Source organism: Homo sapiens, chromosome 10, assembly GCF_000001405.40.
Source record: "Homo sapiens chromosome 10, GRCh38.p14 Primary Assembly".
NCBI classification, from domain to species: domain Eukaryota; kingdom Metazoa; phylum Chordata; class Mammalia; order Primates; family Hominidae; genus Homo; species Homo sapiens.
Window position 1 is genome coordinate 59,717,106 of NC_000010.11, and position 18,648 is coordinate 59,735,753.

The following is an 18,648-nucleotide window of genomic DNA, read 5'->3' on the forward strand; positions in this document are numbered from 1 at the left end:
AGGGAACTTGTGCCATGTTAAAGAAACACAGAGTCTGAGGCACTGCTTGGCTTGAGAGGGAGGCATTCCAAGACAGAGAGGAGAGCATCTGCAAAGTCTTCATGGCATGAAAGACTCCCATGGTATGCTAGGGAATTACAATGGATTGTTACAAATGATTAAAAGTCAGAGTATTTGTGGGAAGGGGAAGGTAAACAATCATAGGGCTTTTGAATGCAGTTAACAGTTCCCATCTCTTGGCAGGATAGCATAAATTGGAGAACTTGGAAGGACCCACGTTCATTTAGAGATCTCATTGGTAGGGACTATGTATTCTCATGAGGACATTAATGAGCTCCATCCTTGCAGAGTTTTATTCAAGATTCAAAGTCCCAGAAGAAAGTGTGACTGGCCTGGTTTGGGCCATGTAGCCATCTCTAAGCTAGGGGAAAACAGGGCACTTTGAGAGTACTCATTAGGGGAGAGATACTTCTCCAAAAACAAACTGGGATGCTGACTAGCCAAAAAACAACAAATGTTCTCTACAATGGTTTAGACCATGGAAGTTCTCATCTCCATGTGAAGACTATCCAGCAAAGGAGAACCATTGCAACATTCTAAACAGAGGAATGACATGGTTGAATTTGTGTTTCAAGGTGATCACTCTTAGAAACCATGTCAGAGGGTACACTGACTGGGAAGGAGACTAGTTAGAAGGCTGATTTAATAGCTGAGGCAAAAGATAGGAAAACTTAAAATCTATAAAATTATAAAATGATATAGGGACCAATTTGAAAGATAGAGAATTACCACATAACTGGTAGTGGCTGTGATTAGTAGATAAAGGTCTAAGACAGTTTCTGGATTTCCGGTTAGAACTTAGAATAACAAGAACAAAGAATTGCTAGAAAGTGAGGGAAGTGTGCCTCACATTGCAGGATCCTCTAGAATAGTTCCAATTTCAAATATGATATCTCATCATTCCAATAACACATCAAAATTTCATGAAACTCCAGCATTATTGAATCTAAAATACATCTTCAAGATTTCTTTTGCAACTGGAAATAGTACAAAATTATTTTGTCAAATTCAGTTTCTTGATTTGTGGCTTGGAAAATATAATCATAGATCACTGAAGAGATGCAACAGAAACAAAAAATAGAAAACCTATGAGATACCAGTATATTAAGGAACGGTGTCTGGTAAAGCAAGGGCTAAAGTTTCACTGGAAATAGAACTGTCCTAACCAAGAAGAATGAGAAATTGATGATTAGGCTAAAGAGGTCTTAGGGAAAAAAAGACAATATCTTTTGGCAGTAAGAAGCTAACGTCTGTCAAACCCCAGGGGTACAGCTGGCTCAGATAGAAGCATGGCAATAGCTCCTTTATCCTCAACCAAATCTGTCACTGTGGATTTAGATTAAAAGTCATTATGTTTCCAAGTCTACAGAGAGGTATGGCCCATGGTACAAATACTTGGATCCATCACAAAGACTCTGGTACCCACCAATCTAAGGCTGAATTGATTGTCAACATCATGTACAATGATAATTATGGGCATTTCCTTTTATTGAATCTGGTTCTTCAGACATCTTTGGAGGCACAAAGAAGCTGCTTCTGGGTGTTTTAATTCCTAGGGTATTTTTTGTCTTGATTATTTCTTAGTCACATGTGGTCATGAATGCTCTTTTTGAGACTGCTGAATCTGAACCTGAGTCTTAGGAAAAGGGCCCTGGAGATTAGCAGGTGCAACCTCATATTCAATGTAGGATTTAATCTTCTAATTTTTCAGATGAAGAAACAGAAATCCCAAGAGGTTAAAAGAAGCAGAGGGCATATAGGACAAAAGCACAGACCCTGAAGCCCAAACAACCTATTAGCTTCTTAATCTTGATGAGGGTCCTTATCTTCTTTGTGCCTGTTTCATCATCTATAAAACAGGGAAAATAATACCTACCTCAAATGGTAGTTGTGAAGGTTCATGAATTAAACCAGAAAAAGTGTTCAGAACAGCCTAACACATAGTACGTAAGTTCTATATGAGTACTTGTTTTCATGAGTATACCAAAGAATCCCATGGCAAGTAAGGTTCTGAACCTATCTGTACTAAAGTTAAAGGAAGAAAATTCTATCCATTGACAAATTTACAATGACTAATGAACGGATGTCATATGCACTATCCTTTTCTCTCCATTACACAACTGGCATCTGAGTTATTCAAATTCATCCAAGAAGTTTCTGTAGTGACACGCAGGTATGGTAACCAGTTCAGAGAATCAAAGTCCAGCAACCAAAATAGTCTGAAACTTGGCCTTTTAATGTGAATTTAAATAGAATTAAATCACTCCTCAGGCATCACCCTCCTTCCACATCACATCAATATTTCTATAACTCGGGTACATCTTCTGTCAACTGTGGTCTTAATGAAGTAAAGGATTGGATTCTGCCTTCGATGTAATTCTTGGAAAGGCCACTAGTTCAACTTTTCTTTGGCTGGTCAAGATTATTTTTCAGCAGGTTCTCCAGCCAGTAATGTTATAATATACACCAAATAAATTAAGAAATGAACATTACTGTGAGGTGGAAAAATAAATACCTAATGGAACTCCTGTGGTGCTGACAACTGTAATTTGCAAAAAGTTTGACTTGTCAAGTGTGGCCCAAATGGCATATTTTATAAAAAGAAGTATGTAACTAATAAATACCCAAAGCAAAAAACTCAATATGCAAAGAGCTTGCTTGTGGAACATTAGCTATGATAATTATTTGAAGTACACAGTGTTCCTCCAACCCTGAAATAATAAAGTAACCTCTCAAAGTATAAAATAGCAAAGAAAATATTCAGCACTGCACACATGCCTGGCATAGAGTAGGTACCCAATGATTTAGTAGGTAAATAAATTTAATGACTGTCAATTAAAAAGTATCTCAGGTTAACTTGGCTCCTCATTACTTGACCTAAGGCACTTGAAGAAAATGTGAGGAATTTCTTATGTAATTAACTATTTAATATGTAATGGGTAATAAGGAACCCCAATAATAAGGTAAATTATTATTAGATGGCATAAAAAATAAATTCAAAGAAAATAAATGAAAGTTTTAAAACTCAAACCTCTTACTTTGGTTTGAGTTTTAAAACTCATTTATTTTCTTTAAATTTCTTTATTTCATAATCTGTATTTCACATTTCAAATGCTGAGAATTATCAGGTGTCAAAAATGTGCTCCCCCTTCTAGAGATTAGGAGAAAATCTTTTCAAAAACTATAAAAGTGGGGCAGCCACTTTGTAAAATAGCCTGGCACTTCCTCAAAAGGTTAAAGATAGAGTCACCAGATGAGCCAATGGTTTCCATTCCTGGGTACATAACCAAGAAAAATGAAAACATGCCCTCACAAAGACTTGTACATGAATGTTCATAGCAGCATTATTCACATTAGCCAAAAAGTGGAAACAACCCAAATGCCCATCAACTGATGAACAAATAAAGAAAATGTGGTATATCCATACAATGGAATATTATTCTGCTGTAAAAAGTACTTATAAATTCTAAGTGGAAAGAAGACAGATAGGAAAGGCTACATGTTATATATTCCATTTATATGAACATCACAGAATTAGGTGAATTTAGAGACAGAAAGAAGATTACTGGTTGCCTAGGGCTGAAGAAGGGGACCTGCTGAGGGAAAATGGGGAGAAGCTCCTAACATGTACTAATGGGCATGGGGTTTCTTTTTGGAATGATGAAAATTTCTAAAATTGACTGTGATGTTGATTGCAGAACTCTGTAAATATGCTAAAAAGCATTAAATTTTACACTTTGAATTGCATGTCAATTGTATGTCAAGTGAATTGTATGGTATATGAATTACCTCTCAATAAAGCTGTTATTTAAAAAAATACAGCAGATGTAACTTTAGCTCTGCTTGTGTTTTTTTTTTTGCTTTCATTTTTTTCTGATTTTTTTTTCTATTTTATTTTATTTTATTTTTACATGAATAAGTTCTTTAGTGGTGATTTCTGAGATTTCAGTGCACCCATCACTGGAGCAGTGGACGCTGTACCCAATGTGTAGTCTTTTATCCCTCACCATCCCCTACTCTTTCCCCCAAGTCCCCAAAGTCTTATGCCTTGGCATGCTCATAGCTTAGTTCCCACTTATGAGTGAGAACATATGATGTTTGGTTTTCCATTCCTGAGTTACTTCACTTAGAATAATGGTCTCCATTTCCTTCCAGGTTGCTGCAAATGCCATTATTTCATTCCTTTTTATAGCTGAGTAGTATTCCGTGGTGTGTGTGTGTGTGTGTGTGTGTGTGTGTGTGTGTGTATAAAACAATTTCTTTATCCACTCAATGACTGATGGTCATTTGGGCTGGTTCCATATTTTTGCAATTGTGAATTGTGCTGCTATATACATGCATGTGAAAGTATGTTTTTCGTATAATGACTTCTTTTCCTCTGGGTAGATAGCCAGTAGTGGAATTGCTGGGTCAAACGGTAGTTCTGCTTTTAGTTTTTTAAGGAATCTTCACACTGTTTTCCATAGTGATTGTACTAGTTTACATTCCCACCTATAGTGTAAAAGTGTTCTCTTTTCACCACATCCATGCCAACATCTATTATTATTTGATTTGATTTTTTTTTATCATGGCCATTCTTTCAGGAGCAAGGTGGTATCACATTGTGGTTTTGATTTGCATTTCTCTGATCATTAGTGATGTTGAGCATTTTTTTATATGTTTGTTGGCCATTTGTATATCTTCTTTTGATAATTGTCTAATCATGTCCTTAGCCCAATTTTTGATGGGATTGTTTGTTTTTTTCTTGCTAATTTATTTGAGTTCCTTATAGATTCTGGATATTGGTCCTTCGTCACATGTGTAGATTGCAAAGATTTTCTCCCACTCTGTGGGCTGTTTGCTCTGCTGATTGTTTCTTTTGCTGTGTAGAATCTTGTTAGTTTAATTAAGTCCCATCTATTTATCTTTGTTTTTGTTACATTTGCTTTTGGGTTCCAGGTCATGAAGTCTTTGCCTAAGCCAAGGTCTAGCTTATCTTCTAGAACTTTTATGGTTTCAGGCCTTATATTTAAGTCTTTGATCCATCTTGAGTTGATTTTTGTATAAGGTAAGAGATGATCCAGTTTCATTCTTCTACATGTGGCTTGTCAAGCACCATTTGTTGAATAGGGTGTCCTTTTCCCACTTTATGCTTTTCTTTGCTTTGTCGAAGATCAGTTGGATGAAAGTGCTTGGCTTTATTTCTGGGTTCTCTATTCTGTTCCATTGGTCTGTGTGCCTATTTTGTACCAGTACCATGCTGTTTTGGTGACTATGACATTATAGTATATTTGAAGTCAGGTAATGTGATGCCTCCAGATTTCTTCTTTTTGCTTAGTCTTTCTTTGGCTATGGGGGCACTTTTTTTGGTTCCATATGAATTTTAGTGTTGTTTATTCTAGTTCTGTGAAGAATGATGGTGGTATTCTGATGGAAATTACATTGAATTTGTAGATTGCTTTTGGCAGTATTATCATTTTTACAAGATAGATTCTACCCATCCAGGTATGTCAATTGTATTGTATGATATATGAATTATATCTCAATAAAGCTGTTACTAAAAAAATACAGCAGATGTAATTTTAGCTCCGCTTGTAGTTTTTAAAAATATGTCAGCAAAACACAGCCTTTAAATTCATCTAGTAGAGTAACAGAGCTGCTTAATATTGTGCCAAGTTAGGGGTCAGACAAGATCAGGCTGGAATAACCATGAAAAATTGCAACCTTCAGAGACAGGATTCACTGTTTAATGTAAGTTGTGACATATGCTGGCACAAAGGACACAGAACAATACATAGGGCCAGGTACAGTGGTTCACGCCTGTAATCCCAGCACTTTGTAAGGCCAAGGCGGGAGGATCACCTGAGGTCAGAAGTTTGAGACCAGCCTGGCCATTGGTGAAANCCCCGTCTCTACTAAAAACACAAAAATTAGCTGGACATGGTGGCGTGTGCCTGTTATCCCAGCTACTCGGGTGGCTGAGACAGGGAGAATCACTTGAACCTGGGAGGCAGAGGTTGCAGTGAGCTGAGATTGCATCACTGCACTCCAGCCTGGATGACAGGGTGAGACTCCATCCCCCCAACCAAAAAAAAAAAAAAAAACAACAATACATAGAGAATCTGTATCTTCTGCCATTGGAAGGTTTCCCTAACCATCCAGGTTGCAGGATAAATGTCAGAGAAATTATGTAGAAGCTGATTTTTATCAATCTTGAAAAATTAGCTCTCCACTTACTCACTAAGCTGTAGTCACAGTGAGCTTCTGTAGTATCTTTATTAGCAGTGTGAGACTCTGTTCTCATGATGCTATTAAAGACATACCTGAGACTGGGTAATTTATAAAGAAAAGAGGTTTAATTGACTCACAGTTCCACATGGCTGAGAAGCCCTCACAAGCATGATGGAAGGCAAAAGAGCAGCAAAGTCATTTCTTACATGATGGCAGGCAAAAGAGTGTGTGCTTCATAAAACCATCAGATCTCATGCGACTTATTCACTATCACAAGAACAGTATAGGGGAAACCGCCCCCATGATTCAATTATCTCCACCTGGCCCTGCCCTTGACACATGGGGATTATTACAATTCTAGGTGAGATCTGGGTGGGGACACAGCCAAACCATATCAGCTTCCTAATGCTTTAATGAGTTCTACCTACCCCAGGGCCTTTGTATCTGCTTTCCTTGGCATCTGAGTCCTCACTCTTCCTCTAGGCCTCCACCTAGCAGGCTCCTCACCAATCAAGTCTCTGCTCCAATGTTGCTTTCTCAGGAAAACTTTCTTAGCTCCTGCTAGCGAAAATATTCTTCCTCTACCTAAGCTCTCTCTCTCTTTCCTCTGTTTTATTTTCTCCACAGCACATGAAATTCTCATGTGTTTATCAACTTCTTGCCTGCCTTCCTCACTGAAAGCAAGCTCCATAAGGATAGGGGCCCCACCTACCTGGTACTCTTAATATATCCCTGTACCTACAACACTGCCAGGTAGGCTAAGGGTACTCGATAAATATTTATTGAGTGAATGATCTCCATGGTATGAGTCATAATCAACTTCCATATACAACACCCAAAATGGCAAGCCCTGTAGTTGATATTGCACCTTGTACAAGAGTCCAGAGAACAGTCTGCAGCTGCCTACTGGCTGAAAGGCCAAATGAGTCTCCTGGCTCACACTGGAAACCTAGTTGGCCACCAAGGACTTCCCGTGCCTTAGCACTAATCCTTCCTCACCCTAGTCTCAGGTCAGATGGCAGAGCACTCTCAGGGGCCTTTCCTGTGGGTTTATAAATAAGTCTGGGATCATTGTTGATCTTAGACTGGCCTACATAGCATCTTGCCCTGAGTTTGCTCAGTGAGTGGGACAACTCCCAGTAAGATCAGTAAACAGTCATGCAGAGAACAGCCCAGAACAACACCCTGGGTCTAAGTGGTCATACAAACTCCACACATTTAAGATCCTCTCTCAAACCTTGCCCCCCATCACTACAGAGGCAGTTCATCCCAATTATGCGATAGACTTAGGAATTTTTCATTCTTACTGGAATGGCTCTCTGGCTTACTGTTCTTGAAAGTCATTTTATTCAAGTGGACACTCAAATGTTACCCCATCTACAACTCTTAATGAGTCACTCAATGCTTCATAAACTGAAGAGTGCTGGTCACACAAGAGGTATTATTATAAAGGCCAAACAATTGGAAATTGTTTCCAAATTATACCAATACTTGTGAGTTCTTTGAAAACAAATTGCTTAAAATAGTATTTGAGATTTTTAAATTATTTAAAAAATTACATTAAAATGAGTTTTATGGGTACAGCTTTAATTTATTTGGGTACTGAACACAGAACAGTGATCTGAGACTCACATTTATAAGGCCTGACTTCATATTTAATAACAAAAAACAATGGAGCTTTGCCGAGACCAACTCAGTTGTGGAGACCCTAACCTAGCGGCATTAGAGGAATTAAAGACACACACACAGAAATATAGAGGTGTGGAGTGGGAAATCAGGGGTCTCATAGCCTTCAGAGCTGAGAGCCTCGAACAGAGATTTACCCACATATTTATTGACAGCAAGCCAGTGATAAGCATTGTTTCTATAGATTATAGATTAACTAAAAGTATTCCTTGGGAAACAAAGGGATGGGCCGAAATAAAGTGATGGGCTCTGGCTAGTTATCTGCAGCGGGAGCATGCATGTCTTTAAGGCATAGATCGCTCATGCCACTGTTTGTGGTTTAAGAACGCCTTAAGTGGTTTACCGCCCTTGGTGGGCCAGGTGTTCCTTGCCCTCATTCCAGTAAACCCACAACCTTCCAGCATGGGCATCATGGCCATCATGAACATGTCACAGTGCTGCAGAGATTTTGTTTATGGCCAGTTTTAGGGCCAGTTTATGGCCAGATATGGGGGGGCCTGTTCCCAACAGAGCTTAATGACTGGCGAATACATATGCCATTTTATTACAGACGGAAGCCTTAGAGAAGAGGAAACAGTTATCTGTAAAGTGAGACCTTGCAAATGGTCTCCTGACACATTTAGGACAGATGCAACAGGTTGCATTTTCACTCACTGAATCCTTGAGTTTAGGATTGGGGTGCCTCATTACAGTTCAAACCTCTTGTCTACCAAATGAGGAAGCAGTGAGGTAATTAACTTCTCTGGCTTGTTATGAGGCAGAATAACTGAATGGTTTTAATCATTTAACAACAGGATTCTAGAGGCAGATGGTTTTGAGCTGGGAGGTCTTGGTTCTCTCGCCTTCTAGCTGCATCACCACAGTTAGGATGTCCTATATGAACCTGGGCGTTTTACTTCATTTCTCTTAACCTGCATTTCCTTATCTATGAAATGGAAATACCTCATATACTTGTTAGTACAGATTGTTTCATGACGTATGCAAAACACAGCACAGTACACTCTAATTCTAGATACTGACATATAAATAAAAAGGGTTCTTTCTGGAAGGCATTTTCTGACCTCTCTTCTCAACTCAGAATAATTTCTTCAAGGGACTATAGCACTGGGAAGAATGCAAGTCCACTTGAATTAATACCAAGAGATTATGAAATTAATAGCACAGAGCTATCTGTGTTCAGGTATGCCAAGCTTATTAGTGGCAAGTTAAGAAACACCATCCACTTCAGTTGGAGGGTTAATTATAACAGCACTGATGGACATTAAGTTCTATGAAACATCACAGAATTCTACCAGAGGAAATTATATGTTACCCAATCCATACTGTATACATACATATTTGCCATGGATATTGTTACAACCCTTTTCCAATTCTACTAAAGGCAGTCACAGATTCCTTACCTCGAAGAGCTGCTCTTGTCTTCCTAATGTTTATAATAATGACTTGGATTTACATAACTCCTTTTGTAGCAGGACAAGCCACAGACAAAACTCCTCAGACACCCAGTTAAAAGAAGGAAGGGGTTTATTTGGCTGGGGGCATTGGCAAGACTCCTGTCTCAAGAGCCGAGCTCCCTGAGTGAGCAATTCCTGTCCCTTTCAAGGGCTGGGGGCTGCATGCACTGGTAATTAGATCAGAACAAAACAGGATAGGATTTCCACAGTGCTTTTCTATATAATGTCTGTAATCTGTAGATAACATAACCAATTAGGTCAGGGGTCGATCTTTCACTACCAGGCCCAGGGTGTGGCACCGGGCTGTCTGCCCCGTGGATTTCATTTCTGCCTTTTAGTTTTTACTTTTTCTTTCTTTGGAGTCAGAAATTGGGCATAAGATAATATGAGGGGTGGTCTCCTCCCTTATTCCCCCCCTTTGAGACTCTCACTCAATAGTGGAAGTTCTCACTTTCATTTTTACTACCCATGTCTTCTTGCAAGACAGATCAATAGTGATTCATATAGTACACTTGTGCTGAAGCATTTTGGTGAACTAAGGTAGTAATGAAGATTTTATCATTTGAAGAAGTACAGGTAGCAAACAAGGGAGCAGTAAGCAGGTTCCTATTACTATTATAACTCTTATTATGAGAGTTTTAAATCCTCCTAGCACTGGGATTCATTTTCCAAACATGGCCCTAGGATCAAATCTATGCCACACTTGCATGGGCACATGTGCCAGTTTTGTCATATCTCTAACTATGTCTTCAACTACTTGCCTTTGATTTTCTATGTATAGGCAGGAATTAGTAAGGTTAAATTCCTTACAGACCTCTCCTTCAGCTGCTAGCAAGCAGTCGAGAGCTGATTTACTTTGATAGATAGCATTTCCCATCTGAGTTTCTTGCCAGGCCAGAAGAGTCAAGGCTCTGCTGGTTTTATTAGTGATTATTTTTAAGACAGCTTGTAACCGTATGATTTGGTTGATCATGTAAATGGGGGTCCGGTATCCCCACGGGCCATCTTGTGCCCAAGTAGCAGGCCCATAATATTGTATGATTATCTCAGGGGGCCATTTATCATTTTTTTAATTTCCTATAGCCATATTCTCTTTTTGCAGGAAGCATAGACAGGGAAGCCCAGGAGTTCACCTGTTTTTATGGGCAGTAGGAAGAAAGATGGTTTAATAGTGCCAATAACACAACTACCTGCCCACTGGTCAGGTAATTTGGTATAGCTCTATGCCCACATATCCAATATAATCCAGTGGGGGCTGTCCAGTCCTGGTGGGACTCTGGGTGGGTCCACACGGTTTGCAAATTTGGGAATTTACTAAATGGATTTCTCTCTGTGTGATGTGAACTCCACTAAGTGACTGTTTTTGTGGTACCATTATACAGTTTCTGTCTCAGACAACTAAGTCGTCCTGCGGGGTGAGTGAATTCTTTTCCTCCTCTAGCTATGCAATATTGTCCAATAATTGAGGCTTATAGGACCCAGAAATTAACAGGGTGAGTCTTTTGAGCCGGGAATGCATCAGGAACTGGGTCTGGAGGTACTAATTCTCGGGCTTCCCATGGCCATTGATCTCCCATTACAGTTCCTCCACATACATAACATGAAGTGACATTGAGAGACTGGGCTACGTGCTCAGCTAATTGCAAAAACAAACTTCTTGTTTTTCCTGGAATTTCTGGTACTGGCACATTTAGTTCATCATAGAAAGTTTGAAACACTGGCTCAGGAGAGCATTTGTAAACTTCTCCTTGAACCAAGATATTTACTCGAGGATCCAGTCCAGCCCGTCGATTCCTAAGGTCACACGCTCCCCTTTTTTCCAGCGAGGATCAAGGCGATTGGTTGTTACTAGCTCTAAGGAGTTACATTGTCTTTTAGTACAGGAAGGGACATTTTTTCCTTTCTGAAGGTGGGCTGGATCCTTTTCATTTTTTTTTTATCCAAGTGGCCTAAACGACACAAGACTACAAATGTAAATAAATGTATTTACATTTATTTCCACACAGTCCTAATTTATGACAGATGTACTTATTTTCTGCCATATAGCCTCTTTCCTAATTAAGAGAACCACACCTTATTCCTAACTTATTACTATTAATGAGAGCACAGGCATCAAATTTTAAGGTGACTTGTTTGGGCACCCCTTTTTCTTCTGTTTTGGCTAACACTTTACTTGTATCGTTTATGAGCCGCCACCAGTCCTCAGTCCTTAATCTCATTTTAAAAACTGTGGTCATGGGAGGCTCAGATGGGTCGTAACACACGTCAGGTTGATCATTTCCTGGGCTACACACCTTGTATAGAATAACATTATACAAACAATTTCTTTTTAGAGTTCCAGTACACATATAATAACCATAATATAATAGGACTGTAGCAACCTTTTGCCCTACCTCAGTGACTTGATGTATACACTGGGAACAGTCCTCAATCTGAGGAAAGTCAGTTGAAGTCCTTACTGTACAAGTCCAAATTTTAAGGAAAATGAGTCCCGCGATGAGTTTTCTCATTCTTCGGCCATGCGTGGACCAGTCAGCTTCCAGGTGTGACTGGAGCAGGGCTTGTCATCTTCTTCAGAGTCACTTTGCAGGGGTTGGCGAAGCTGCTCCCATCCACATACCGCTCACAGTCTACTGATGTTTAAGGATGGTCTCGGAGGTTGGGCCTGCTGGAATAAACTGAGTCCAACACCTTTATACAGTTACGTTCAGCTGGGCTCTCTGATACCAGAAGCAAGGTGGTGGGGTTTAGTGTGTTGCAAACTTCAATGGTTATGTGGGGATTTTCACATAAGCAAGCTTTGGTACTTGGTTGATCTAGGATTTGTTAACCAATGATGTCATTAAAGTTACCACAGCATGCGGGGCCTTTATAGTCAGGTTCTGCCTAAGGGTTAGTTTATCTGCTTCTTGCACTAACAGGGCCGTTGCTGCTAGGGCCTTTAGACCTGGGGGCCAGCCTTTGGAAACCCTGTCTAGTTGTTTTGAGAGATAGGCCACTGGCCTTGGCCAGGGCCCCACAGTCTGGGTTAAAACTCCAACTGCCATTTTTTCCCTTTCTGACACATAGAGTGTGAAGAGTTTTGTCAGGTCAGGTAGCCTCAGGGCTGGGGCCGACATGAGTTTTTCTTTTAACTCATGAAAAGCTCGTTGCTGTTGGTTGTAATAGATGTAGTTTATCTAATCTACATTTCTATTAACTGTCACCTACCAAAATATTGACTCAAATCCTGCAGCTATTTGATTTAAAGCTTTAAATTGATCTGGTATTGCTCGTGGGACTCCAGTTGTGTCTAAATAGACATGAGAGTCGAAAGACCCATAAGGGGCTTCTCTTGCTTTACAATGTCTTATTTTTTTTCCTTCTGGTTGATGAAATGCCAGGGCAAAAGGGATAGACAATTAGACTAAAGTACAATTGCCACTCCAGTTATTCGACAGAGTGCCCAGTAAAGGTCCACCACAATACCACCACACATCCGCTCGGGGATGAACAAGGGCTGACTGATTGATAAGCTCTTGAAAATTCTTAAGCTCACTGCATCCTTTCAGGTCTCCAAGGAATGTTAAGTTTCCTCCCTGTCATGAGAGACACGAAGTGAACTTAGTGTTGGGAGATGGAGGCTGGATGGCCCTCGGGGGCTTATCCACAGGGTGCTGGACTTTGGGATATAGCAGAGAGATCTTGGCACGACTTATTACTCCAGGCTGTAGAATCCTGGAAAAGAGCTACCATGCAGCCTATGCCTGGTTGACTGGAGGACCACCTTAGTGGAAAGGGGACAATCTGGGCCTCTGGCCTGCCATGTGCACAAGCATAACAATTGTTTTTGTTTAACATGCAGATGGAATATTTGATCCATTTTAACCAGGCATTTGCATCTTGGTATCCTGTTTTAATTGCTTAAGTTTGTTTTAAGTCTTTAACTTCTATGATCCTCTAGTAAAATGAATGTATGGTTTTAGGAAATTACAAAAACCGGTTGGAGCAGTCCATCCTTGCTCTGTAGTGGTCCACAGAACGTTGGACCAACTATGGCATGAAAGTTCTACATCGGGGGGCAAGACTCCTGGTTGGCACCAGGATTTTATCAAAATCTCCCCAGATTAAATGGTCCTAGTTTACTAATGCCCAGTCTGAGGAGAGTCATGAGGGACAGAAGTACTTTTCTGAAGTAGAAAGCTGCTTTGACTTGGCAAGTCCCCACAGGGTATAATAAGGCAAGCATTAAATGCAATAGTTTGAGGTGAAATTGACTTGATTATGTTACTAACTAGATGCTTAGCAATAGAACGATGAAAGAGAAATAGAATAGATGAAAAGAGTTAAATTTTTCTTAGCTTTAGTTTGGTAGGGTTTTCCCCTGGGACTATGGCCCACGACTCTGGAGGGGGTGGCGCTTTCTTGACTCGGGTGTGATGAGTCCATCTTTTTTCTGCTATACGAACAGAAGTCTTGGTGGTTAGCAGCACAAGGTAGGGTCCTTCCCAGGCTGGCTCGAGTTTTTCTTCTTTTCACCCTTTGATGAGAACGTGATCTTCAGGCTAACGCTCGTTTACTGGAAATTCTAGGGGTGGTACATATGCTAAAAGACTTTTAGTTTTTGAGAGAAAGGAAAGTGGAAGATAAACCAAGTATATAACTTTTAAGAATTGACCTTTTGTTTTAAATGTGGGGACCTTAGCAGTGGACTTTATAGTCCTTAGTGCCTTTTTACTGAGAAATTTCCTTTAGCACCTATTTTTATTAGTTTTTTAAACCAAAGAAACCCAAATACCATTTTACATTTAACAATGCTTCTCGTATGATTTTTATATCAGATAAGCTAAATTTTATCTTTATATTAGTATGTTATTAATGTTAAACCTAATTTTAATAAAACCTTGTAGATATATTTATCTAATTTTTAATGTCAGACCATAAGGTAAGATTTTATAAACTCTTTTTAACCTTTTATAATTTTTGCTAAAGAGCAGGTTGGTGCTTTAAGAAAAACCTGTTATGCTTTTACTTTAATGTCCAGTTCACAGCAAAACTGGATGATACTTCTTTAACTTTAGTTAAGATGTTTACACACAGAATTTTCTTTATAATTAATATTTTAAAACTTGCTTAAATCTTCAAAACAATAATTTTTTTTAACTTTTTAATGTAGGTAAAAATGTACATTCTTATGCCTCCTTATAATCCTTTTACCAAAGGTATATTTTACTTTTCTTATACAACGTGCACATAAACTGTTTTGGTTTTTTTTTCAGTAGTTTTACATTCAGGAGGCCTAGTTACTTTTAAATTATACAACATTTTTTGCATAAATTCTTTTTTATAACATTTTTCTCTTTCATGACTTTTGCAGACAATTCTTCGACATGCTGCTTCAACTTTCTGACTTATGACAAATATTTCTTTCTTTAAACAACCAGTTAATTTATTTCAGGACAAGAATTTACCATACAATACTCTTTTTATATAAATTCCGCCCCCCCTTTTTTTCCTTTTTTTTTTTTCTTTAACCTTAGGATACTTCTGAACTGGTGAGGTGTGCTCACAATGACGTTTCCTCTAAAAGTTTTTTTTTTACTTTTTTGTTGTTGTTGTTAGCAAAGCAATTGCTGCTACAGATTGAATGCATTTGGGCCATCTGCGGGTTACTGGGTTAAGGATTTTTGATAGGAAGGCCTCAGTGCTTTCAGGATACTCCCTTGTTTACGCTGACTACAAAGTGGTATTGAAGTGTTATAGGGTTACAGAGAATACCTTCAATTATCAATTATAGGTTTTAAATTTACCTTGGCTTTTAAAGGAATGGGTACACTTTTTTTTTTCTTAACTGCTTGTATATCTCTCTCTTTCTCTCTTTCTTTCTCTCTTTGTCTTTCCCTCTCTCTCTTTTACTTTCCTTTTGCCTCTGTCTCTTCCTCTCTCTCTCTCTGCCTCTCTCTTTCTTTCTCTCTCGCTGTCTTTCTCCTTGACTTCCTCTTTGTCTGTCTCTTCCTCTCTGTCTCTTCCTTTCTCTCTTTGCCTCTTTTCCTCTCTGTCTCTTTCCTTTCTCTCTCTCTGCTGATCTTTCCTTGCCTCTGCCAGCCGCTTATGCTGCTGTTCTCAACCACTGTGTGTTGGGGGAGGGGGGTCTAAAACCAGCTGTAACCAAGTGTCTACATACGGGAACTGGTCTGCGTTCCCTGGCTTAAAGGTTACCTTGTGCCATACCTTTGAAACAAGGGACCTGTCCAGGCTTCCTTCTAATGGCCAACCTACCTCTAATGCTGGCCAGTCTCTCTTACACAAAGTTTTAAGTTTTCCTGGTGTCATAGTACTCCACAGTCTCCTTTAAATTCTTTTTTGAAATTTTTCAACATAGTTCCTAGTAGGGTGGGCTTATCTGTGCCTGACCTACTCTTCTTTGAGACAAAACACCACGCTCACACCACACGCACACCACAAAAGAACAGGTAAAAAGGGCACACACACACACACACACACACACACACACATACACACAGTTTGCACCAAACCAAAATCAAAACCAAAATCAGAGTATCCAGAAATCCAAGCCAGGTCAAAACCAAAACTAAAGTATCAAGCAATCCAAGTCAAGTCAAAAACAAAAACCAAAGTGCCGGTACAGGCACACCATGGGTGATCAGGCCACGCTTCCACTCAAATGGAGTAGGCAAGTTCCTAAGACCAGTCCTGTCAAGCAATTCAAACCAAGTCTAAACCAAAATCAAGTGCCAATAAAGGCACTCCATGGGTGATCAGGCCACGCTTGCACTCAAACGGAGTGGGCAAGTTTCAAAGACTAGTCTTATCAAGTTTTAGATGTCCAGACTCCAAGTGCCCATTCCTTCCTGGAGTTCAGCCACTGCGTTGATCCTCCACAGGGGCCTGCCACACACTGCTCTGGTGAGGCGTCCCACTGGGGCAAATGCCTACCCGGGAGCGCTCTCAGGATCTGCGTCACTCGGGCTGGTAGGAGTCCCCCACAGGGATGTTCTACAGGGCAGGCTTAAGCCACCTAAGGAGCTGCCTCAACCATCTGCCAATCACCTCACTTCCAGTCAGTGAACCAAGAAATGTAGCAGGACGAGCCACAGACAAAACTCCTCAGACACCGACTTAAAGAAGGAGGGGGTTTATTCAGCCGGGAGCATTGGCAGGACTCCTGTCTCAAGAACCAAGCTCCCTGAGTAAGCAATTCCTGTCCCTTTTAAGGGCTCACAACTCTAAGGGGGTGCACGTGAGAGGGTCGTGATCGATTGAGCAAGCAGGTGGTACGTGACTGGGGGCTGCATGCACTGGTAATTAGATAGGAACAAAACAGGATAGGGATTTCCACAGTGCTTTTCTATAGAATGTCTGTAATCTATAGATAATATAACCGATGAGGTCGGGGGTCGATCTTTCACTACCAGGCCTAGGGTGTGGTGCTGGGCTGTCTGCCTGTGGATTTCATTTCTGCCTTTTAGTTTTTACTTTTTCTTTCTTTGGAGGCAGAAATTGGGCATAAGGCAATATGAGGGGTGGAGCCCTTACTTTCTGGTATGCATTTTTGTGTCAGTTTCTGCCCAATTCATTTGACATTCACATATTTATATGTGATACGCAAAGCATGTGGTATTTGTGCCATTTTTGTTTGTGTCTCTCTTTATTTTAATGCAGGAGGAGTATGAGACCCAGAGAGATTAAGCAACTTGTCCAAATGTCACATAGCTCAATAGCCAGAGCAATAAGATGGCAGGAACACTTAGTCACATGAGCTTCGCAAGGCTTCTCAAACCATAAGATGTGTATGGAACACTGGGGATCTTGTTACAATGTGGATTCTGAATTCAGTAGGTCTCAGGGGGACTAGGATTATGGATGCCAACAAGCTCCCAGAAGTTGCTACTGCTAATAGTTCTTGAATCATCTCTCACTATATCCTTCATAACACCGTGAGCATATCCTTCCCAATACTTCCCCCAATTGTAATTGCACCATTTCGGTATTCATTCATGTTCCCCACCAAGCTTTGAACTCCATGAGAACAGTAGCTGTGTTTTGTTTACAACTTGGCCTGGCTGCCCAGCCCAATCTGGCAAAAAGGAACTGAATGAATATTTTTGAAGACTGAAGAAAAAAATGACCTATTGCCAATTATAAAGCCACAACACTTGCATATTAAGACTCTTATTACTTGTTGAAAAAGGATGTTTATCATGTATCTTTTCTTGTCTCAAGTCACATTATGGTACCTAGTTGTAACTTCCAGCTCCCAAAATAACATAACCAAAAGACGCCCTGCGAGGTCAGCCAGTTTAGATCTATACCTCCAGCAGAACTATGCCTAGGTTCCTGTGGAACATAATCACCTCCTTGGGCCAATGTGATGGGTTAATATGAGGTCATTCTAAGTGTAAGGGGGAGTGTAAGTTTGAAGGAAGCCACATCACTTTTGCTCCCACCTGAGGATAATAATGACAGCAATCTATCATAGATTAAAGGTTTCCCATATGCCAGGGACTGTACTAAGCACTTTGCATCAGTTACTTCATTTCGTTTTCTCTACAACCCTATGAGCTAGGCTCTCATTTTATAAGTAAGGAAGCTGAGAGACATAGGGCTGTCGAACTATAGGAAGTGACCCAAGCAGTCTGGCTTCAGAATAGATGATTCGGACCACCTTGTCTACTGCCTGGAAGTTCCCAGAGAAAAGAAACAACTGCCTGAAAACAGGAGTGACCTGATAATGGGTTCCAACAAATCTCAAATATAGGGGTTTGAGGAGAAGCACATCACATCAACAGGAGGTGGTCCTTATACCCCAAAGGTATGGTCTAATAATACAGTGTAGAGGAAGAATAGGACGTTCTGCTACTGTTTTCAATTAACACTCAGTTTGACTCTATTTGGTTTGTGGTTAAATATACAACACTGCTGACAGGTTAAGTAAGAGCTGGTTAAAGGATATGTCTCAAAGGTCCAGATTCCTTTCACACTTAATTAGATCTCTTATGAAACCTTGCATTAATGATTGGACCAAATCAAAGAAAACAATTATCACATAGAAGAACTCAGAATTTTGTTGAGTATGTGTGTCCAAAGTAAGAACTCAAAAAGTCTAAAGGACAGAGAGTCATTTGTTTTTCAAAAGCTTAAAAAGTAGAAGTTCAACAGTTATATTTTAACCCTGTGAGATAAAGCGGAAATGGAGAAAACAGGGGAAGAGAACACATTTTCGAGTGGGACATAAGAA